Raw genomic sequence first — 24,644 nt, 5'->3', positions numbered from 1 at the left:
TCCAAGCAGCAGAATCAAAGGGTAGATGGGTTGAGATAATGGGACCAGACAGTTACATGATTTATTAACTCCACTGACTCTAGCTGAAGTCCTCTGGGGAAGCAGCAGGCCAGCTCCCTTGAGATCACAGGCTTGACCTAATGTCTGGTCTCCTCCCTGGTTCTGCAGCACAACTCCTGAAATGGCACTAACAAGACCATGTGTGGCCCTCTCCTGCTGTTGCAGGTGGGATGGTCTCATTTCATTTGCAGGTGGCCTTTCTCATTCTCATGCCACTGTCATGAGCTGGGGTTTCCCTGGCAGGGAAACAGTATTTCGCATGTAACTCTGGAAATCGTAGGCACTGCTTTGTCATGTTCTTTCTGTGACACTGACTCTTGTGGTTAAAAGACTGCAGATCATTCCATAGTGAGTCTGGCTTTTCTCTGCATTTTACACTATTTCTCTGTGAAGTCTGACTCATGCCTCAAGGTCTGGTTGACTAGCACGATTTCTCCAGCATTTGTTAATTAAACTCCTTGATATATTTCCCTCCTCCCATGCAATAGAGTCCCCCAATGATCAATACTTTCAACCTAACAGCTATTGCTTAACTGGCTTATATTTTTTGCTTTTTCCCATTTATCTACAATGTATTTAGATGGGAAAGTGAGCTATTCTTTGTTCATCATTTCAGGAAGAGTTCTATAAAATATGCATTACAATTTTTGTACTCTTTTTTTTTGGTACTCCTAATACTCTGAATGCTTTGCTCCATAATTTTCATAAATTTCTCTTTCTGTCTGTAATTTCTCTTTAGAATTGAAAATATAATTAATGTTGATTTTAAAGGTTGATACATTCCTGCTCCCTTGTGTGTTTTATTGAGTTGATAATTTTTTGGGGCGTGCCACCTATAAGCAAGGTATTGAATGCTGAGTTGCTGTTAGGGTTCAAAAATGAATGAGGGCCTACACTTTTTGTGGATCGACAGAGGAGATTAGATATATATGTGATTGCCGTACAAAGTAGAAAATGATACAGACCAAAAGTACAGTGTGGGTAGAGTATTGTGACAACGTAGAGTAAGGAAAGGAATCATGGAAGGCCTCTGAGAAGAGGTGTAATTTGAAGTAACCATTGGAAGTCTAGACTTCAAGCCTCATGAGGGCAAGGTCTGTGGACTCTCTTGGATGCCATTTGTGTTAGTCTGCATTGCTGTAAAGAAACACCTGAGACTGGGTAATTTATAAAGAAAATACATTTATTTTGGCTCATTGTTCCACGGGTTGTACAAGAAGTGTGATGCTGGCATCTGCTTCTGGTGAGGGCCTCAGGAAGCTTGCAACCATGGCTGAAAGTGAAGGGGAGCCAGCATGTCACATAGCAAGAGCAGGAGGAAGGGGGAGAGGAGGAAGTTCCAGGTTATTTTAAACAACCAGATCTAGCACGAACTCACAGAGTGAGAACTCATTCATTACCCGGAGAATGGCACCAAGACATTCATGAGGGATCTGTCCCCATGATCCAAGCACCTCCCACCAGGGCCTACGTCCAACACTGAGGAATACATTTTGATGTGAGCTTTGGAGGGGTCAAACATCCAAACTGTATCACCATTGTATGCTCAGTGCTGAACATAGTCCTTAGCCCATGTTGGTGCTGCATAAATATTTATTATGAAAATGATGAGTTAGGATTTGTATATGTAAATATGATATTGGAAAGGTCTTAAAGGGAATGGAATGATCATGGGGAGAAATAGAATGGAAGATGAAAACAGGAATTATCTTTGAGAATTATCTCTCTCTACAAATGTGTAATAAGAAGATATTTATCTGTTAATTTTAACTTTCCCTAACACACCACATTATTCTAGTCACAGGCAGGGAGTCATTGTTGAAAATGAGAGTTAGAGATGGTAAAGGGGGACTTGCTCTGTCTCCTTATCCAATCATGTCTCTTTAGCATTGATGGCTGGGTCATACGCATCTTGCAAGGACACTCTTGGAAAAGAAAGAGGTGAAAGAAGGGCAATGATATTCTTCTTTGAAATGGAATTTGATTACCCTTGTCTCTGTTCAGGTGGTGAGAAGAGCTCAACTAGAGAGGTTATAAAATCTCCTTGTCATTTTCGAAGGCAGTCCAAGGGCTTGGATGCATTAGCAAAGGCGACAGTGTTGTCATGGTGAACGAATATTGTCCTGCATCTGCCTGACCTAATCCCGGGTTTTATAGACACAAATGGCAGAGAATCTGAATAGTCAAATAAACAAGAGAGAACAAACAGCAGGGAGTTAATATTTAGTATGGTCCACTGCCCATTTTATTAGTGTGTTCATTTTAGAAAATTAAAAAAATCACTTTGCATTGTACAGGTTAAAGAGAAGCCAAGAACACCCACAATGTGATGAGAATCCTTGAGGATTATGCAGAATTAGACAGAGACCAAACTGATGAATTTTGTAACAGAGGTTTTGGGGCTCTATAACAATAATAACAAATTGGTTAAACACTTTCATAGTAATTATAAATAATTTCAGCTCATAGCATTTTTGTGTTTTTAAAGTTGATGTGACATTCTCTAATGCCTATATTTATTTATTATATAGCCAAAATTTGAACATAGTTTAATACACATATTAAATTCTTATAGATTAGTGCACTTCACATAGATGCTATTTCACTATAGCACATTTTAAAATATTAGGTTGGTGCCAAAATAATCACAGTTTTTGCCATTGAAAGTAATGGCACCACCCAGGTGAAAACCACGCAGGTCCCTCTCACAGGTAGTTCTAGGCAACTCCTTGTTGCCAACAAAAGGCTTCAGGCCCTGTTGCAACCACTTTTATATGCTGTTCATATGGAATGAAAGAGTTTCTGCTGTACCTATTATTTTACCTGCCCAAAAGTCTTACATATGGTGTTATATCTGGCATTTGCTGTATAATTAGCATTATATTGGATACAGTTCTCCATGTTTCTATGTGACCTAGCAGTTTATCATTTTCAGTAGCAGTAGTGTCTCCCAATGTCACTGGTGCTCTCTTCATTTGCAGAGCCAATTACTAAGGTCTTTCCAGCGAGGAAAACCAGTAGAGGTATGGGGTCTGGACCAGCAGGTCCCAAGCCCTGCTTATAATCAGAATGACTTGGGGAAATTTTAAAAAACAGAAACAAAAATACAAAAGAAAAACAAAAACAACCCCATAAGACAACAAAATCCAACTGCAGAGATACTGATTTAGAGTGTCTAGTGTGGAGCCCATATTTTCAAAAGTTCTCCAGAGGGTTTGGAGGATCGCCCAGGTTGGGAAGCTTTGGGGATAATTCCATGATCCAGTTCTTTCCATCAAAATAAACTAAAAGAAAAGTGTAATCAGAACTGATCTCCATAACCATCATAGGAACGAAAGTCAAAGAAATCTGGGATGCTTGGAGTGTTTCACTGTGACTTAATTATTACTGTTAATATTTATTTTAATGTAGAATACACTGAAGTTGACATCTTGTTTTTTGCTGTCACTGAGTTTTGAGTCTTTCTTGACTTTGTCCTACCAAGTGATCTGTGGCTTTGCAGTGTAGGTACAAAGCTTTGCTTAAGTGTTTTCCTAATCCTTGCCACTGGATCTCTAATTTTTATAGAGCTGAATTTACTCTTGAGAGGTAATTTGGGGTCATCTGTTTTATTCATACTGAACCAACCCTTTCCATTCTGTCTTTACTTGTTCAAAACTGAGATGACTTTGAAGCCATATGTCTATCAGTAGTTCATAATGCTTTCCTTTTGGCAAAGATCCAAGTTTACAGTGGATGCCCTAAGAACCAAATTACATCTCATACTCTACTCTGCAATTCAGGCCATTTAGCTGCAAATACTGTTCTTACTCATTTTATAGCTGTCCCATTCATGGTAGTTCTCCAGCCTTGGTGTCTTTAGAGAGTCTTCTTAAAGGGACCCAAATGAGCTAATAACATAGCTGAAGAAAGCAAACCATTTAAAAAGAATATGTATGTTTATGGATTGTCTTAATAGCCAAAGTTTTAAATAAATGGAATTAGTTTCCTCTAAAATTAGTGAGTTCCCCATTAGTGGAGGAGGTGCCTTAACATAGATCAAATGGCCATGTGGATATTTTTATGTAGAGATTTCAATATTACATAAATGATTGTGCTACTAGAACATTAAGGCATTTAAGAAACACATATCATGTTCCGTTTTCACCCACTAGTTGCTCAAATCTGGTATATGGTGTATGGTGTCCATGTGTTGGTTGGGGAAATCATTAATGCTGGCCATACTTAGGGTGGTGGAGAAAGGACTTTGGCTGTATTTTCCATCCACTCACCACCAATGTGGTGGTGTCAGGAGATGGGGCCTTTGGGAAGTGATTGGATTATGACAGCAGAGCCCTCATGAATGGAATTAGTGCCCCTATAGAAGAGGCACCAGATTGCTGCTTGGCCTCTTCTACAATATGAGGACACAGTAAGAAGTCACCATGTATGAACCAAAAGGTAACCCCTCAGCAGACATCAAATCTGCTGGCACCTTGATCTTGGACTTCCCAGCTTCCAGAACTATAAGAAATAAATTTTCTATTGCTAATAATCTACCTAGTTTATGGTATTTTGTTACAGTAACCAAGACAAAATAAGATACATCCTTACTGGTGGAATCTATTCATTTCACATTTTTGGGAATGGAGGTTGGAGAGCTTAGAAGACTTACTCAAAGAAACAAGGGCCCAGAAATAAACTGTCACATATATGATCCAGTAATTTTTGACAGAGGTGCTAAGACCATTCATTAGGGAAAGGACCATCATTTCAACAACTGTTGTTGGAAAAACTGGATACTGGGACATGTAAAATAATGAGGTTGGACCCTTACCTTATATCATATATGAAAATTAAAATAGATCAAAGTCCTAAACACAAGAGTTGAAACCATAAAACATTTACAAGAAAATTTATGACATTAGATTTGGAAGTGATATCTTAGGTAGGACACCAAAAGCACAGGTGACAAAAGAAAAAATAGTTAAATTGAACTACATCAAAATTTAAAATCATACATCAAAAACACTATCAAGGTGAAAAAGCAGTCCACAGAATGGGAGAAAATATTTGCAAATCATATATCTGTTAAGGGATTAATATCTAGAATAATTAAAGAACTTCTATAACTTGACAACATCAAAGAAAACCAAACAACCTGATGGAAAAATGGGCAAAAGGACTTGAATAGATATTTCTACAAAGAAGACATACAGATGGCCAACAAGCATATGAAAAAATACTGAACATACTAGTCATTAGAAAAATGCGAATCAAAACCATAGTAAGATACTACTTTATACCCATTAAGATGGCTATTACAAAAAACAAAATAGCAAGTGTTGGTGAGTAAATAGAGAAATGGAAACTTTTGTGCATTGATGGAGGGAATAGAAAATGATTCAGCTGCTACAGAAAACAGTATGGCAGTTCCTCAAGAAATTAGAAATGGAATTACTATATGATCCAGCAATTCCACTTCTGGATATATACCCAAAATAATTTAATGCAGGGACTCAAACAGATATTTGTACACCCATGTTCATAGCAGCATTATTCACCATGGCCAAAAGATAGAAGCAATCCAAATATATGTCCCTCAGTGGATGAATGGATAAATAAAATAATATTCTATTGTGTGTTTATATATATAAAGTCTTATAAAAAGGAAACTCTGACACATACTATGACATGGATGAACCTTGAGGACATTATGCTAAATGAAATAAACCAGTCACAAGAAGGCAAATATTGCTTGATTGCACTTAAATGTGACACCTAGAGTAGTCAAATTCATAGAGACACAAAGCAGAATGGTGGTTGCCAGGGGCTGGAGGGAGAAAGGAATGGGGAGATATTGTTCAATGTTCAATGGGTGTGGAGCTTCAGTTTGGGAAGATGAAAAATGTTCTGGAGATGGATGGTGGTGATGATTGTGTCATAATGCGAATGTACTTGATGCCACTGAACTGTACACTTGAGATGGTTAAAATGGTAAATTTCAGGTTATGTGTATCTTATCACAATTAAAAAAAGAGTAAGGCCATAATGACAGGGATGAGATTAAATCCCTAGTTCTTAGATGTGATTTGATGCTTTTCTGACTCTCAGAGTTCCATTCATTCATTCATTCAGCACATTTTGTTGAGTATCCACTATGTGCCAGGCACTGTGATAGATGTTGGGAATATATAAATGAATGAAACAAACAAAAATTCTCTCATCCTGGAGCTTATATGCTAGTGGAGCATACAGACAATAATTATAGCAGTGACAGCAACAAAGTGTAGTATGTGGGATGTGAGATGGTGATTAGTAGTATCAGAAGTCTGAAACAGGATTAGAAGGAAAGGCACCGGATCATGGAAGGATTTGTTGTCCATTTTAGCGACCTGGGTTTTGCTCTTTGTGAAATTCCAGTGGGGGGTTTTTTGAATAGAAGGGCGATGGGATGTTTTAACAGGATTCCTCTGGCTGTTGTGTTGAGAATAAGCATGGGAAGGTAATGGTAGAAGCAGGAAGACTGGAGACAAATGCTCAGTACAGGTGAAGGAGGTTGGTGACTTGCACCAGGATAGGAGCAGTGCAGGTGGTGAGAAGTGGTCAGATTATGGCAGTATTTGATGATAAAGCTGGGTAGATTTACTGATGGATTGATTGTGGGATGGGAAAAAAAACATAATTAAGAATGATTTTAAGGTGTGGGGCCTGGGCAACTGGTAGGATGCAGTTGTCATTTACTGATGGGAAAGTACAAGGAAGCAGATTTGGAGGGTAAACCCAGGGATTTGGTTTTGGGCATCTGAACCTTGGGGTATCTATTAGACATCCAAGTGAAGATGATTAATTAGTTGGCTTTGCAGTTTCGAGTCCAGGGATGAGATAGCAAGCCTAACGGTATAAATTTGGGACTGATTAGCAGAAAGATTGCATCCAGTCATGAAAAAGGTGAGTATAATATAGAATATAATCATATATAGAGAAAAAAAGGTGGCCAGAGAATGAACACTGCGATATTGCAACATTAAGAGGTTGAGTAGATGAGTTGGAATGAAACAAGAGAGTGTGGTATCCTTAAGGTCAAATGAAGAAAAGTGTTTCAACAAGGGAGGGCATGATCATTTGTTTCAAATACTTTAGATAGATCAGGAAATATGAAAACTGAAAATTGACCATTGGATTTATTCAGGTCACTAATGACATCAATATTGCTAAGAGCTATTTTGGGGAAATGGTGGGGGGAAAGTTTGATTCTGATTGGAGGCCATAAACCTGGACACCTTTTTCTAAAAGTTTTGCTATAAAGAATGGAGAGAAATAGGATGGTAGGTGGAGAAAGAAGTAGAGGTCAAGAGAAGGCCTTTTTGAGATGAGAGACATGATGATATATTTGTCTGCTGATAGGATCTGACCTGGTAGAAAATGCACTGCTGCAGTGGTATCCATGAGCAGGGGGGTGGGATGGGATCTAGTACACAAGAGGAGGGGCTACTATGGGTAGGCACACGTGTTGGGGCACCCAGAGTTACAGGAGGGATGGCAGAGGATCTGGGCAGAGATGCAAGTCCGTGAGTTGATGGGGTGCTGCAGGTAAAGGAAATTCTCTTCTGTGGTTTCCATTTCTGGGTGAAAAGGGAAGGAAGGCCAATAGTTAAAAGTGAGTATGGGGAAAGAGGTGCTGAAGCTTTGAAGGAGAAGGTATGAAGTACTTGCCAACAAGGGTGGAAAGGTGAATGGATTAAGTCAGGAAAGGGAAGCTATCATTTTCGAAGAGGTTGAGGGTATAGGAGATCTTTGTTCTTGAGGACCCTGAGTTCCAGAATGCACAGTGAAGGGATTTTGAGAATTTCAGATTCTGGGATATACAGAGCTATAGGGAGATCAGAGTCTCTCATGAGCCATCAGAGATCACTTTGCCTGGTTTTTTTCCACCCCCCCCTTTTTTTCTTTTTCCACCTTACTTTTTTTCTATTTTTTTTCTTTTCCTTTCTCTCTCTTTCCTTCCTTCCTTCTTTGTCTCTTTGTTTCTGTTCCCCTCCCTCTCTGCTTTGCTTTCCCTCCTTTTGGTCTTTCTCCTTAAGTTGATCTTTGAGACACTAAGAAGAATCTGCTATTGAATCTATTCTCTGCAACTGGCTAACATATTTTTTTTTAAAAGTAAATTACAACTGACCCTTGAACTACATGGGTTTGAACTGTGAGGATCCACTTACACGTGGATTTTTTTTTCAGCTGAATGCAGATTGAGAATACAGTATTCACAGGATGCAAAACCTGCCAATACGGAGGGTTAACTTTTTGTACGTGCAGATTCTATACAGCTCACTGCAGGACCTGAGTGTGCGTGAATTTTGTTATGCATAGGGGGTCTTGGAACCAATCCCCTAAGTATACCCAGGAATGATTGTAATACGAAAACAAATGCCCTTTTCCTTCATTGGGATGGGCTTAAAGGCATTAAACAAATCATATAATACTTTAAAAATATTGACAATGAAGTTATAAGAAGAAATTCCCCATTTTTTTCTTTAAAAAGTAGACTTCCTCATGACCAATATCGGAATAATGAATTTATGAGAATTATAAGGTTTTTCTTGGCATAATCAAATAATGCAAAGTCCTAAAGTGCTTCCTTATTAATCAGTTGTGCTTAAGCTTTTCTGATTTTGCAGCCTTGGAGACTGATGGATGAAAAACAAAGACATTGACGCAAATGGAAGTGTTTTTCTTTTCTTCTGCAGTTGTCCCAGTTTCTAGGCAATTTCAGAGGGATTGTAGGTGTAAATTGGCCTAGTTTGATGGTCAATTATCATTTAAAATAATTTTGAATTGTTTAACAGGCAGATTATAAGTAATTTTCACATACAAAAATAGGACAAAATAATTAGCTTCTGTTTCCCATGTGTTTGATATTTCAAGAACAAATTTACAACTTGTAGCAATTTGAACTTTACCTCCATTTTTAGTCATATCTCACTTTATATCAAAGATGATATGGTGATAGCTTAATTTTCTTATAAAAACATATTTGTGGCTTTTAATTGCAGTTGGTTGGATGTTTGTATTGAGTTTGAGGACTCGTTCTCCATAAGTATGTATTCAGGCTTTAAAGATTTATCTGTTCATTCATACCATGCCTATTTCCTGAAAGGCTATTAGCCAAGAAAACGTGGGTCCAAATAGAGCGAAGAGACACAAGGTGGAAAGGAGACACAAAAGGTGATTGTGGCAGGAGAACTTCTCGGTGAGGAGTGTCCAGCAGTGTTTTGTTTCTGTTCATCTCTAGCATCAGCCCAGGGAGTGGGAAAGCACACAAATCCCTGTATGAATTGGAGATGAGACGAGAACTTGTACTGGGGGCTAGCAGTAAAAATATACTTTAGAATCAGACAAATTTGGATTTGTCTAGCTCTTTCACTTATTAGCGACAGGACCTCAGGTCAGCTGCCCAACCACACCTTCAGTTTTCTGATCTATAAAGCAATCATGTCTCCCCAGACGTCTGCTGTCAAGAATAAGTGAGATAATGTATATGAAACACTCAGATTGAGGGTTTTCAACAGGGGGCAATTTTGCTTCCCAGGGGAATATTTGACAATGGCCAGAGACATTTTTGATTGTTTGCTAATTGAGAGTAGAGTGCTGTTCCTTATATTTAGTGAGGGGGCCCGGGGTGCTGTTCAACATCCTGCAATGCACAGGACAGCTCCTACAATCATTACTCAGCCCTAACGTTCATAATGCTGAGGCTGAGAAACTGACTTTAGAACAATGCGTGACCCAGAGCAAAGGCTCCAAATATGTTAGTTCTTATCATCATCATCATTGTCGTCATCAGTTGTTGACACAAAATTTTAGTTAGTTCTTAATTCTATTTTTCCTGTTGAACATATTTCATTCCCTTCCCTTCCTTACCTTGTAGGTGAATTTATCTCTGTATCTCAAGCCTAGATTTCTGTCGCAGGCTTTCAAATACTTTCTTGATTCTTTTCTGATATGCACACTCATGTCAGACTAAGATTTCTTAACCGTGCATTTCATATCCTTCTTTTACTCCCTCTTGTTGAGTATGTGCAGTGGGTAGAGTGTGCAGTGTAGAGTCAGACTGCTCGAGTTGAAATCCAAGCATCACCACCTGCTTGAAGTGTGACCTTAGGGAAATTAACTTTCTATGCCTCAGTTTCATCATAAGTAAATGGGGATTACAGTTGTACCTTCTCTTAGGGTTGCTGTGAGCATTAAATGGAGTGAGCTATGTAAAGCCCTTGGCTCAGTGCCTGGCACAGAGAAGGTGTTCAGTATATATTATTTCACCAGTGAATAGAAGCTACACCAGGTTATTTTGGTTTTTTTTCATCTCTATATGGTTGGCTTTGACTTAAATTCATGAGAGATGAGCTATCTTCATAAGTAATAACACAAGAAGGTCTCTCCTGAGTAGTCAGATAGGATAAGTGCATTTACCCTGAACTGTCCAGTATGGTATACTTAATAGCCAATATGGTATACTCAATACTCAGTAGCCACCTGTAGCTATTGAGTATTTGAACTGTGGGCTATCTGAATTGACCGCTTTAAGTATGACATACACATGGGATTTAAAAGATTTAATACAACAAAAAAGAATGTAAAGTATCAGTGATTTTTAATATTCATTACATGTTGCGAAAACACTGTTTTTGGTATATTGGGTTAAATAAAATACGTTATTGAAATGGATTTCACCTATTTGTTTTTATATTTTTAAAATGTGGCTACTAGAAAATATAAAATTGCACATGTGGCTTGCATTACACTTCCATTGGACTGTGCAGGGCTAACTTAAGAGGCCAGGGTTCTCGAATGGAGGTACATCTGCCAAATCACAGTGCCTCTGTTGCAGTGGAGGTGTCCCTTAACTGTTTCTGGCACACTGCTGGTATAGTCATGACAAGGCAGGAATGGGAGCCTGTCTCTGAACTCAATTCATCTGGCTTATTTGGTGACATTCTAAACTTGGGACATATGAATGATTTTGGGCTCTTTTGGGAACTTGGAATTATATGGAAAAAATGTTTTCTATCTGTATAAATCTAGAGCACAATCTTGAGAACCAGTTTCAGATTGCTGCCTTTGTTTTTTTTTTTTTTTATTATACTTTAAGTTTTAGGGTACATGTGCACATTGTGCAGGTTAGTTACATATGTATACATGTGCCATGCTGGTGCGCTGCACCCACCAACTCGTCATGTAGCATTAGGTATATCTCCCGATGATATCCCTCCCCCCTCCCCCCACCCCACAACAGTCCCCAGAGTGTGATATTCCCCTTCCTGTGTCCATGTGATCTCATTGTTCAATTCCCACCTATGAGTGAGAATATGCAGTGTTTGGTTTTTTATTCTTGCAATAGTTTACTGAGAATGATGATTTCCAATTTCATCCATGTCCCTACAAAAGACATGAACTCATCATTTTTTATGGCTGCATAGTATTCCATGGTGTATATGTGCCACATTTTCTTAATCCAGTCTATCATTGTTGGACATTTGGGTTGGTTCCAAGTCTTTGCTATTGTGAATAATGCCGCAATAAACATACGTGTGCATGTGTCTTTATAGCAGCATGATTTATAGTCCTTTGGGTTCCCAAATGGAAGGTATTGAGCTTCTGGGCGGGCGATCTGCTCCCTTCAAGAAGATTGAGCTTGCTGGTTTTGTGATCTGGTGACTCAGGATAAAAATGTGAAATTCACATACATGCATGCAAAATCTTCCACTTAATTGATTGCATTTTGGGGCAATATTGCTTGCTAGGTTGGATGCTCCGATACTTTTTTTGTTTTGTTTTTGTTTTTTGTTTTTTTTTTTGGAGATAGGGTTTCTCTATGTTGCCTAGGCTGAATTGGAACTACTGGGCTCAAGTGGTTCTCCTGCCACAGCTTCCCGAGTAGCTGAGAGTATAGGTATGAATCACTGCACCCGAATTCCAGAGTATTTTGAAGTTTGGTGAGAGCTGTGCTACCGCACAATCCAAAGAATCTCACATGGTTATTTTTAATACGATATGATCTCCCATTTGTTATCTTTTTTGGGGGGCCTAATGTGTGAAATGATTAATTTTACATCTTTATGCATAATATTGCTCTGCAGGTGTTGATATCTTAACTTATATTTGAAAGTTTCTACATGGTGCTTAAGAACTCAGTTTTCAGGTTGACAAATTGACAAGTGAGATGATAATCTACTATAAATGTCTTTGAGTTTGGAAATTTATGGCAACAATCTTAATATTATAAAATTATGAAAGTAAACTCTGTAGGACCCAAAAGATCTGTCTTATGGCATCCTCAGGCATTTCTTTCTCTGCATTATAGACATTGCACAGACAAGTCTATGTGCAGACAAAATGGAGACACGTATATCAAGGAAAAGGATCATACTCTTCCATCTAGTAGAAGATTGTTTATGTTTTCATGTGTTCCTTTCTGGTCTTTTTCCTATGCATATTTTTTGTCACAAAACTGGTATATTTTACTCACTTGACAAGTATATACTGAATTCTTACTGTGTGGCAGGCACTGTACTAGACACTAGGATACAGTGGTAATTGATATTAACATTGGGCCTCTAATCGGAGAAACAGGACAGTAAACAGTTCATTGAGTTAAGCATGTTAAGGGATCGTGATGGGGGGAGGTGCATCAGGATACTGTGGGAGCACTGAAGGACCATTATAATTACATGTGCTTCTTACCCTTGAAAAACCGAATCTGGCTAAGTCAGTTCATCTGTTGCCTCCCAAATGATATTTTAGAAATAGCCTCCCATGTATTGCGACTTCTTTAATTACTGTACTTTTCTCTGTTCTGGTTCTACTAGACTCCTCTTAATCTGCCCCACTCTTAGCTCATTGCCAAAAGAGGGACTTTCTTCTTTCACCTCATTTTTTTTTTTTTTTGAGACAGAGTCTTGCTCTGTTGTCCAGGCTGGAGTGCAGTGGTGCAATCTTGGCTCACTGCAACCTCCGCCTCCCGGATTCAAGCGGTTCTCCTGCCTCAGCCTCCTGAGTAGCTGGGATTACAGGTTTGTGCTACCATGCCTGGCTAATTTTTGTATTTTTAGTAGAAACAGGGTTTCACCATGTTGGTCAGGCTGGTCTCAAACTCTTGACTTTCTGATCTGCCCACCTCGGCCTCCCAAAGTGCTAGGATTACAGGCATGAGCCACTGTGCCCGGCCAACTCACCTCTTTTTTTTTTTTTGGGAGCAATTAAGATTCTTTGTCTCACAGCTGGAGCCAGCTCAGCCTCACCCATTGAGAGGGATGGTTTCCATTTGCAACATCAATCTCAATGTTACCAATGTTATCAGAGATTCTGGGCCTTGTTAGTAAATGCTCTATAATCTGTTTCTCTTGTGAGAAACAGGGTAAGTCTGAGAGAGTTTGGTAGATATTTTCTGGGCAACCTGGATTGGAATCTGTATTAGTTTATTGCTTTATAACAAATCCCCTCAAAACTTACTGACTTTAAACAACAATATTTATTATCTCACAGTTTCTGTGGGCCAGCAATCTGAGGACAGCTTAGCTGCATCCTCTAGCTCAGGGTTTCACACAAGTTGCAATCAATGTGCCACCTGGGGCTGCAGTCTCATCTGAAAGCTTGACTGGGGAAGAATCTGCTTCTAAGCTCATCCATGCGGTTGTTGGAAGGATTCAGTTCCTTGTGGGCTATTGGACTGAGGGCATCAGTTTCTCATGGGCTGTTACCTGGAGGTCTTCCTTAGTTCCTTGCCACTTCAGCCTCTCCATAGGGCAGTTTACAGTGCAACAGCTGACTTCCCTCAGAGTGATTGAGCAAGAGAGAGCAAGAAAGAGAGGATGTAAGCTGGCAGAAATCATGGTTTTTAATAACTTCCTACTTTCTGTTCAATGGATGCAAGTTGCTAGATCGAGGCCACAATCAAGTAGAGGGAATTACACAAGAGCATGCATACCAGGAGGTGGAGAGTATTAGGAACAATTTACGAAGCTGCCTAACACAGCACCCTTAATGATTCTCTCCCTCTAGTATTTCTATAAGATTTAGTGTTTCATCGTTGTATGTTCCTCTACCTTTATTATTACTATTGGATTGCCTTCCATCAACAGCCTATAAACCCAATGAGGGCAGGAACCATGCCTGTCTTGTTGACTGCTGTATCCCCAAGGCCTAGAGTTGTGGCACAAAGTGATATTCGTACAAATTTGTTGAAGGAATGAATGAGGCAATAGGCTCAACCTCAACAAAAATTCTCTCTTCTCTAGCCACCAGTGTCTTCCTCCTACTGGGCCTACCCTGTTTGCCTGACCCAAACTGGGGACCCTTGACTTTAGATTTGGTTCTTGACTCTCTTCCCACCTATTCAGAACTGATGTTTTGGGAGCCCCTTTGGGCTAGGGTTCACTGTATCTAATTTCCCTTGGCATCTTCATCCCTTTCCCGCTCTCCCATGCTTAGCCCTGGCTCCAGGATTCTGGCCTCCTGATTCTAGGAAGAGAAGTTTGGAGACTTTTTCCTAGAGGGAAGGATTTTGGGGAGAGATTACTATGTAAATTCTCCCTTGTGGTGGACAAATGCAACCTGGTAATTTTGGGAGCATCCTGGGTCCCCTCCCTTGATGCAAGCACTGAGGAAGAATACAGGGATGGCTGCTCTCATCCATCTCAAAGAAGTATAAACTAGGAAGACACTGAATAGATGTTCAGTTAGATTTTAGTCCCTCATGCTTAGTAGTTTATTATTGAATTGAAATATTATTGCATTGAAACTGGCAGTATTCACCATTAAATAAAAGACTGAGATAATCAGGATTAGTCATTTTTCAAAAGAAATGTAAAAATATGAGCTTTCTGTATTGTGTTGGTGGTTGTAGCCTTTGCTCTGTTGATGTCTCCTGCTGGCTATTCTTCAAATAACAAGCATCCTGGTTGATTTTTACTCTTCTTTCCTGCCTTCTGTCCCACAGAAGCGCTTTGAGGATGACATAATAGTGGGTACTGATAACAGGGGCTGTGGAGTCAAACTTCTTAGCCCTACCACTTACTGGTTTCATGACCTTCAGGAAGTTACTTAACCTCTCTTAGGCTCAGTTTTCTCATCTGTAAATGGAGATAATGATGGAACCCATCTTTAAGGTCTAGGGGAGGAATAAATTAAATGGTATACTCAAAGCATTTCACACATAGCCTGGCATAGAGTAAGTACATCACAAGTACTAAGTGTAATAAGTAATACATATGTAAAAAGTGTTGGCTATATTTATTGTTTAAAAACAAACACTGGGCCAGGCGCTGTGGCTCTTGCCTGTAATTACAGCACTTTGGGAGGCTGAGGTGGGCAGATCACGAGGTCAGGAGATCGAGACCATCCTGGCTAACACGCTGAAACCCCGTCTCTACTAAAAATACAAAAAAATTAGCTGGGCGTGGTGGCAGGCGCCTGTAGTCCCAGCTATTCAGGAGGCTGAGGCAGGAGAATGGCGTGAACCTGGAAGGTGGAGGTTACAGTGAGCTGAGATCTCGCCTCTGCACTCCAGCCTCGGCGACAGAGCGAGACTCAGTCTCAAAAACAAACAAACAAACAAACAAAAACACTGGATGGCCTCTGTGCATAGGGGTGGGCATGCAAGGTGTGAACTTGATTGAAGATGATATTATAAAGGAAAACTGGGACAACTCCTCTTTAGACCAGCAGTCAGCCAACGAGGATCAAAGGTCCAAGTTAGTCCCACCTTTTGTTTTTGTATAGCCCACGAGCAAGAATGAATTTGACTTTTTTAAATGGGGTTTAAAAAAACCCACAAAAGAATGCATTTCAGAGCACACAAGAATTACATGAAATACGCATGTCCATGTCCATAAATAAAATTTATAAAATAAACACATGAATACATAACATTTAGGAAATAAAAAATAATTAAAGTTCATACAGTAGTCATACTCATTCATTTTATTGTCTCTGGCTGCTTTTGTGCTACAATGGCAGAGTTGAGTAGTTACAACAGAGACGGTCTTGGCTAGCAAAGACTAAAATATTTACTGTTTGGCCCTTTGCAGAAAAATTTGCTGACTCTTGCTTTACACCAATGTGCTGCTGTCTGTTTCCAGCATGAAATTGGGAGGGGTGAGGATGGTGAGATGGGAAAGCCAAGAAGCTCTCCAACTAATCCCCTGTTGAGCCTTAAGTATGCTTTTGTGATACAGTGATGTCCCAGGTTGTTCATATCCTGTATTCAAATTTAGGAAGTAACACATCCTAAGATTGAATAGACAACTGACTTTCAAATTCCTCCTTCTTTTTAGCTTATAGAAATTGACTATGTATAAAAGTAGCAAGTTACTGAACCTACTTCTTCTGAAATAACACACAAATGGTAGTGTGATTTCTAGATTTTTTTGGTGAATATCGGCCTGGCTTTCATGTGATTTTATAGGATCATTGTGATTTACATATATTAGTTAAATTCTCATTAATATGAGACTGAAAAATGCTGATAAAATGCTGTCTTGGTGTGTAAAATAGACTTATATGAAATTAGTGGTTATCTCAAATAATTTGGAAGACAATTGCTGATGCAAAGTTAATTCAAAAGCCACAGTAAATTGAAGCACTAAAAGAATTTACATTCTGTATTTGTCAAAGTACAACACAAGTATCTAATTAGAATTGATACAGTATTAACAGCTGACTTGATATAAATTAGAATTTACTTTTTAGTTGCTGAATAATGATACATTTCTTCTTTCTTGTATGTATTTGTTATTATTCATATTACGCCATCCTGCCTGAGTTGCTTAGTTAGGTGGTCAGTCAAATATGGGTTTTAAGTAGCATTGTGAATTAGCGGTTATAGCTCAGAGTATGAAGTCTAACAGATTAGAGCTCAGTTCTAGCTCCTGTTCTGCTGTATGACCTTGCTCTAATTTTCTTTTCTTTTCTTTCTTTTTTTTCAAGGCAGAGTGTCTCTCTGTCACCCAGGCTGGTGTGCAGTGGTGTGATCTCAGCTTACTGCAACCTCCACCTCCTGGATTCAAGTGATCCTCCCACCTCAGCCTCCTGAGTAGCGGGGGACAACAGGCACGCGATACCACACCTGGCTTATTTTGTAGTTTTTGTAGAGATGGGGTTTTGCCATGTTGCCCAAGCTGGTCTTGTACTCCTGGGCTCAAGCGATCTGCCTGCCTCAGCCTCCCAAAGTGTTGGAATTATAGGTGTGAGCCACCACACCTGGCCACCTTGTTATAATTTTCTTAGCTTCAGTTTCCTAATCTTTACAAAGCGTTCATTAATAGTGTCTGCATTCTCAGGCTGTTGTGAGGATTAAGTGATTAAAAAAATGTGAAGTATTTAGAAATTGTGCCTGGAATATAGTGAGAGTTCATTTAATGTTAGGTGATGTATTGTTATAATAATTAGCCTTAGCAATATGATTTAATGTTGCTAATGTTAATCAATATAATTTACCATCAGTGGGAATGTGAGAATATAAGGGCTCTCCCTGTTTGGACTCACATTGCAGCTTGTACAGTTCTCAGAATTTGAAAGCATGAAATACCTTCTAACCACAGACTCTTTAGCTCATTTTCTTGTGGGGCAACTCTCTTTCCCATCAAGCAACATATGCCTCTCATTTGGGCATTTTGTTGAAGCCCTATAGACTCATACAAATTCCTTCCCAGGGCAGAGGCTAAAACACAGCATGAGAGATCCCAGGGCTGGGTGGCACAGAGGCTCCTTAGTGCTTTCCTAGGCTTCTCAAACAATAGCGTATACAGAAGATGGTAATATTTGTATGTCAGTCTGGGGTGAGCATATGAGGATGAGCCTGGCTAGAGATGCTTGCTGAGGGTGATGGCATGGGAGTCATACTGGTAACCCATTTGTGGCTATGCCCTGACATAGGTCTGAGCAAAGCCTGGGTACAGTGGTGGGATGACAGGCTAGCCAAGGGAGGGGATATTAATAGGTGGTAGCAGCTGAACCTGAGCCCTTGGGAGGTGGGGTAGAGAGGTGAGAATGTACTGCCTCACTGAAAAGTGGCCCTCTTTATATGGCTGCTGGGATTTCTAGTATCTTGCACAAGGCCCTGCCATTTTTAACTGTGTGTGCATGCATGTGGTTGGGTGTAGTGTGGAAATACATGAAGATTACCCAAATGAGAACAGAGGTTATTGATTCAGAGCTTGCCATAACAAGAGAGGAAGCTTACATTACTTGTCGTGTTTGACACAGGCAGGTGGTAGAGTGAGAAAGCTTTACAATCCAAAAAGGGGAGCCTTCAGGTATATATATCCTTTTGATTGGAGGTTGCTGGCTTGGGGAAGCTGCAGATGGGCTAATTAAAAGTGCAGTATTTGGCTTCCTTTTCTAGGCCCTGAGTTGGAAGTAGGGGCACAGAATAGAGAAACTGGCAGTCATTGACTAAATCCTGGCTCTTGCTGCTGGTTGCTGCAGAGGTTTTGAGACAGTGTTCTATTGTCTTGTATAGTCTGGCTATGTTCTTTTGCCTATTTGGTCTTTCAGTCCTTTCTTTTCTTCGTTCTCTGGCTTGTGAGTGGCTGACCAATTCTGGAAAAGCCAGAATCTGAATCTTCACTTCTCAGAAATTATCCAGATGTCTCCGTAGTAAACTATATTTCAATCATGGCAGTCATTTGATAAGAGACTGGTTGTGCAGAAGCATTTAAGGCTCCATATAGAACACAATAAGTAACATTATGACCACTGTGGCAAAAATGAGAACAATTAATAGTCTCTGTAAGCTGCTTTAGAACCAGGGAAGCAAGGCTGGGCGCAGTGCCTCATGCCTGCAATCCCAACACTTTGGGAGGCCAAGGCAGGCAGATCACCTGACGTCAGGAGTTTGAGACCAGCCTGCCAACATGGTGAAACCCCTTCTCTACTAAACATACAAAAATTAGCTGGGTGTGGTGGTGCATGCCTGTAATCCCAGCTACTCAGGAGGCTAAGGCAGGAGAATTGCTTGAACCTGGGAGGCGGAGGTTGCAGTGAGCCAAGATCACGCCACTGCACTACAGCCTGGGTGACAAAGCAAGACTCTGTCTCAAAAAAAAAAAAAAAAACAAAAAAACCCCCACCAAAACCCAAAAAACAAACAAACAAACAAACAAATCAGGAACACAAATTGTTTAACCAAGGCCAAGAGAACAAATCCCATAGGCCATGAGGATCAACCTTAGAAAGCCAAGTAACTGTTTCCTTCAGGCAGTGTTTAGTCTGTTCTGTCTTTCCTACTTCCTTGATCCCAGTCCAAAAGGCAGTATTAGCAATGACACACATGCCACCACGACCAGCCAACAAGAAATCCGGAGCAATGCAATTGTCCATCACTATCTGTGCCAATGAATTGGGAATGATCTGTATTCCATCCAGGGCAGAGGTAGTATTATTAATAACTTTTGCCAGAGTTAGCAATAGGTTTCTTCCTGATGTTTCTAAGATTTCCATCATTGGGAACACTGCTCTGATTGTTTGCATAAAGAATGAGTCATTAATTTCCCCAGGTGGAGTGCCTGAATAATCAAGGGTGGCCTTATTTTGGAGTTGACATACAGCCTTAGCAATTTATAGACTTACAGTCCCTGTGCCTGGACAAGTCTTGGAATATGATTCCTAAAGTGCATGAGGTATTAGTCTGAGGCAAGCGGGATTAGGCTTCTTGGCCATAAAAGAAGTAGTATCCAGGCCGGGCGTGGTGGCTCATGCCTATAATCCCAGCTCTTTGGGAGGCCAAGGCAGGTGGATCATGAGGTCAAGAGATCGAGACCATCCTGGCCAAAATGGTGAAACCCCGTCTCTACTAAAAATACAAAAATTAGCCGGGCGTGATGGCGTGCACCTGTAGTCCCAGATACTCAGGAGGCTGAGGCAGGAGAATTGCTTGAATCCGGGAGGCAGAGGTTGCAGTGAGCTGAGATTGTGCCACTGCACTCCAGCCTGGCAAAAGAGCGAGACTCCGTCTCAAAAAAAAAAAAAAAGTAGTATCCAGTAGGTGCTCATGGAGATACAGGACAAAAAGATTTATTTATTTATGACACAAAGTTACAACCGGAGCATCTGGTTAGCTGGGTTACATCTTCGAATCTCTAAGAGTCTCCTCTAGGTAGCAAGTATCTGTACTATCACTGTAGGAAATGTGTTGAATTCAAATGTGGGACTAGAGTCTGAATAATAGATTGTAATAATTAGTCCTTTTTTGTGGCAGAGAGGGAGAGTAGCAAAGTCATAGGTTGATTTGTTTAAGGTCATTTGTTCCTATAGGTGTAAATGGAGATGCCATTGACTGTATTTTCCTATGGTCTTATTGCATGAGACTGGAATTGCCTGGAGGATTTTATCATGGGGATCCAGTGATAGACAGTGTGTTCAGAAATCAGTAAGATCAAAGGAGTGGGTACTGTTTGGGATAATCTAAGAATGAGTATTTTCTGAACCAAAAATTATAAAGAAGAGGAAAGAACAGAGAAAAAGTTCCATTATGAGTGGACAACAACTAGGACTCTACAGAAGATGAGAAGAATGATCACGTGGAGGTGGATGAAAAACAAAACCAGAATTAGACAGGGTTCTTGGCCCGCTGCCTTGGGTAGAAGCTGTCCCCTATGTGAGGTCATCAGCTGTGTGCTTCTGAAAGCTGGCGACTTCTAGAGGATCTCTGAGAATCCTCCCTTGAGGTCCTATTATGGAGTAGCCTTCCAGTTCTGTGGAATTCTGCATTGCTTCTGTAGTTGTGAACCCAGGAATTGACTCCTTAGAATTTCACTGCTATATTTATTGCTAACAGTACCGGATAAGGTCTCTTCCAACAAGATTCAAAAACAGGTTTTTTTTTTCTGATTTTTTTTTTCTCAATAGACAAGAAGATTATAAAGATGCTATTTAGGACGATGTTGTGGGAAGGGGGCCTTAACCTGTTTTTGACAAGCTGGGCATAGTACATGATTCCGTTGTAATATTTTGCCACATCTGTGTGCAGCAGGACAGAACTACTAGAATTCGAGATGAAATCCCTGAACACATGGGCCTTCCAATTACCCATTCATAGGAGGATAGCCAATGTGTCCTTGAGGGAGTGGATTGCATGGCCATAAGGACTAATGGTAGTACTTTTGGCCAAGATGAAAGAGCTGCTGTTAGATCAGCACCTTTAACTCTTGCATGTTGTTGAAGGTTATCTTCTCGTCTAGCCTGAAATCTCCTACAGTTTAATCTTTTGTCTGTTGGTATGACTGTATTATGGTCAAGTCTATTTTAAAAAACATCTGGGGTGGCTTTATTTTATATCCTTCCAATAAATGGGGCTAAATGTTTTCCCAATTAAGAGCTACCAATGATCTCTGAAAAACCATGAAAAGAGGTGGCAAATAGTCTGAGTGAATATTCCTGAACTTTTACCCAATAGAAATTGATAATTAATATCCCATGATGTATGACCGATCTTAGCTGGTCTACATTTGCTTTTTTTTTTTTTTTAAAAAAAAAAGAATAATTTCAACTTTTATTGTAGATTCAAGGGGTACATGTGCAGGTTTGTTACATGGGTATATTGAGTGATACACAGGTTTGGAGTATGATTGATCCCGTCACCCAGGTACTGAGCATAGTACCCAGTAGATAGTTTTTGGTCAAGTCTACTTTTATTGGAAATGTTTTGGGTATGACTTTTAGAAAAATTTGTCCTACCTTTTACACTTTTTTTTTTTTTTTTTTTTTAAAGAGAGATGGAGTCTCTCCTGGGCTCAAGCAATACTCCTACCTCAACCTCTTTTTTTGTTTTTGTTTTTGTTTTTAACTCCTGGGCTCAAACAGTCCTCCCATCTCAGCTCTTGATTTTTTTTAATTGTGAAAAGAGAAATTCCATAGATCTTTTTCTGGGATAGTCCAATTAGCTTTTGCTATTCAGGATTTAGATTCCAATCAATGTTTGCAGCTTGATAAAGTTTGGTAACCCTGAGTCAAATGCACTCAAAAGAATTATAGATTCTTCTATAAATAGTGGCTGGTCTTGTCTAGGATTCTTCTATAAATAGTTGCTAGCTCTTCATTCAGCTCAAGACCAAGGTTTAAATTCCACAGTGGTCTGAATGCCTGGCCCATGGGTGGGATGGATCTTTAAATGCAAGTGGCATCTTGGGGCCTTAGGAGAGTTGTTGGGAAAAGGAAGGGAGTTTTGACAAAGAGAAGAGTTGAGAGAGGTGCAGAAGGAGATAGATCAGGATAAGGGGGAAGAGGGCACTGGGTATAGAGAGGCAACTAAAAGACAAGGCGGGGGAGAATTTACTAGGGAAATGAATCTAGTTTGTGTTATTTAAGATTGTTCAAATAATCTTTTGTGAACCATTTTGAATCAGAATGCTGTTTGGAGGCTTCTGCATGCTAATAAAAAAAAAAAAATGCTGCCCATTGGGCCTGAGCAATCTTATTCCCTTTTTCCCCTAAGCCCCTTTCAAATAAGCAGTTTTGTTTAAGGCTCATGTTGCTTAGAGTATCCACTGAAGATGACATTGATGAAATGAGGTATGATAGGCACAATAATTAGGATTGTAGTGACAGTACATATAAGAAGCAAGAGTTTTTTTCTGGAGAAGAATTAGACTTACATATAATCCCATGAGAGGTCCCAGCAGTTGGTGAAAGTGATGCTTGTTTGCTTAGTGTCTCAGAGCCCCCACCTCACAAGTGGATGCCTTCAAATGCTGACCTGGCAATCTGCGCCCTCCCAACAAGAAAACCAGAGAATGTTCTCTCTGGATTAGAGCCAAGCTCTCAGGACAGAAAATAGAGATGGAAGGAGAATCCTATCCAGTTTTATTGGTGAGTCACAGAAACGTTTGTCCAAGTGGATGCTGATCTGGTGAGAACCACAGAATTATCAGTCTGTAAAGCCGGCTTAGACAACAGGCTTATAGGGCCTGTGCCTGTGTTCTACCCTGTGATTGTCTTCATGGCAAACAACACGGAGACAGCACAATGCAAAATAGAAGGACAAAAGGGAGCAAACATGGATGAAAAGGAATGGCTTGATTCCTCCAAACAAATGGGAGCCAATAACAAAACCTGGTATTACCAAGAGGAAAATAAACAGCCAAAGAACTCAATGCCCAGAGAATGGAATCAGACACAGTGCTAACTTACCACGTTGTCACAGACCTGACAGCCTGTGAGAGCCTGCAAACAGCAAGGCACAAGGGGCCTCATGGGTGCCACTCCTGGTTAAGACTAGAGTCCATGGTGATAGGCAGTGTAGATTGTATCTTTGGGGGGTGTCCGGGTTAACTGGAAATAAACAAAGACCACCCAAAGGAGACCAAACAGATGCTATTTATTCAGAGTTTGCTATTGCAAGAGAGGCTGCTGCCATCCTTAGTGTTTGGCAGAGACTCAAAGGCAGGCAGTGGAATGGGAAAGCTTTTTGGACTTCTTACAGTGAAAAAGAGAAGGTTTCGGATACATGTGCTGTGATCAGAGGTTGCTGGCATGAGGAAGCTGGAGGCGGGCTAACTAGAAGCAGAGTATCTTACATGATTGGTTTGGGGAGAATATTTGGTTGGAGGAAGGGACAAAAAGTAAGGAAGCTGGCAGTCACTGACTAAACCCTGATCATTCTGGGCAGATTGCTGCAGAGGTTGTGGCCTGGCTTCCCAGGCTGGTTGCTGCAGAGGTTGTAGGTCAGAGTTCTGTTATACATGGTCTGGCCATGTCCATTTGTATATTTAGTCTCTCAGTAAATATGAACTCCAATCTAATCTAACCATGAATTAACTCTAAATGAACAAGAGCTGGTCTTTACTTTCAGAATTTATTCCCCAGCAAGTAAGTTCTGTCAAGGGGCGGATAATGAACATTTTAGGCTTTGCAGGCTAGACAGGCTTTGTCCCAAGTGCATGAAAGCAGACATAGGTAATACATAAATAAATAGGAGTGTCTGTGTTCCAATTAAACTTTATTATTAACACTGGAATTTGAATTTTATATAATTTCTGTGTGTCATGAAATAACATACTATTGTGTTTTTTCCAAGCATTTAAAAATTTAAAAACATTCTTAGCTTGTGGACCATACAAAACAGGTGATGGGTTGGATTTGGCCCTTTGGCCATGGTTTGCCAATCCCTGCTCTGGTAGAGGATAGATAACAAATGCAGCCATGCATCACTTAATGACTGGATATATTCTGAGAAACGTGTTGTTAGCTGATTTTGTCATTGTGCAAACGTTGTCGAGTGTACTTACACAAACCTAGTTGGTAGAGCCTTCTACACACCTAGGCTATATGAGATAACCTATTGCTCCTAGGCTACAAACCTGTATAGCAGGTTACTGTACTGAATACTGTAGGCAATTGTAACGTAGTGATTAGTATTTAAGTGTCTGAACATATCAAAATATAGATAAGATATAGGAAAAATACAGTCTATAATCTGATGAGACCATTGTCTTATATACAGTCACTGATTAAAATGTCATTATGCAGCACATGACTGTACTCACATCAGTGTAATAGAGCAACAGCAGCAGTAAAAATAATAGCCGCCAATCATTGATGAAACACTTAGGTCA

General features: G+C 40.0%; 1 protein-coding gene across 21 annotated transcripts in view; it reads left to right on the top strand.

Annotated features, from left to right (window-relative positions):
• Positions 1-24,644, top strand: part of ERC2 (ELKS/RAB6-interacting/CAST family member 2) — a 960,157-nt gene that overhangs the window by 78,724 nt on the left and 856,789 nt on the right. The gene's annotated exons all lie outside the window — the stretch shown is intronic.

Source organism: Homo sapiens, chromosome 3 (genome assembly GCF_000001405.40).
Source record: "Homo sapiens chromosome 3, GRCh38.p14 Primary Assembly".
NCBI classification, from domain to species: Eukaryota; Metazoa; Chordata; class Mammalia; order Primates; family Hominidae; genus Homo; species Homo sapiens.
This window is presented reverse-complemented; position numbering and strand designations above follow the sequence as displayed.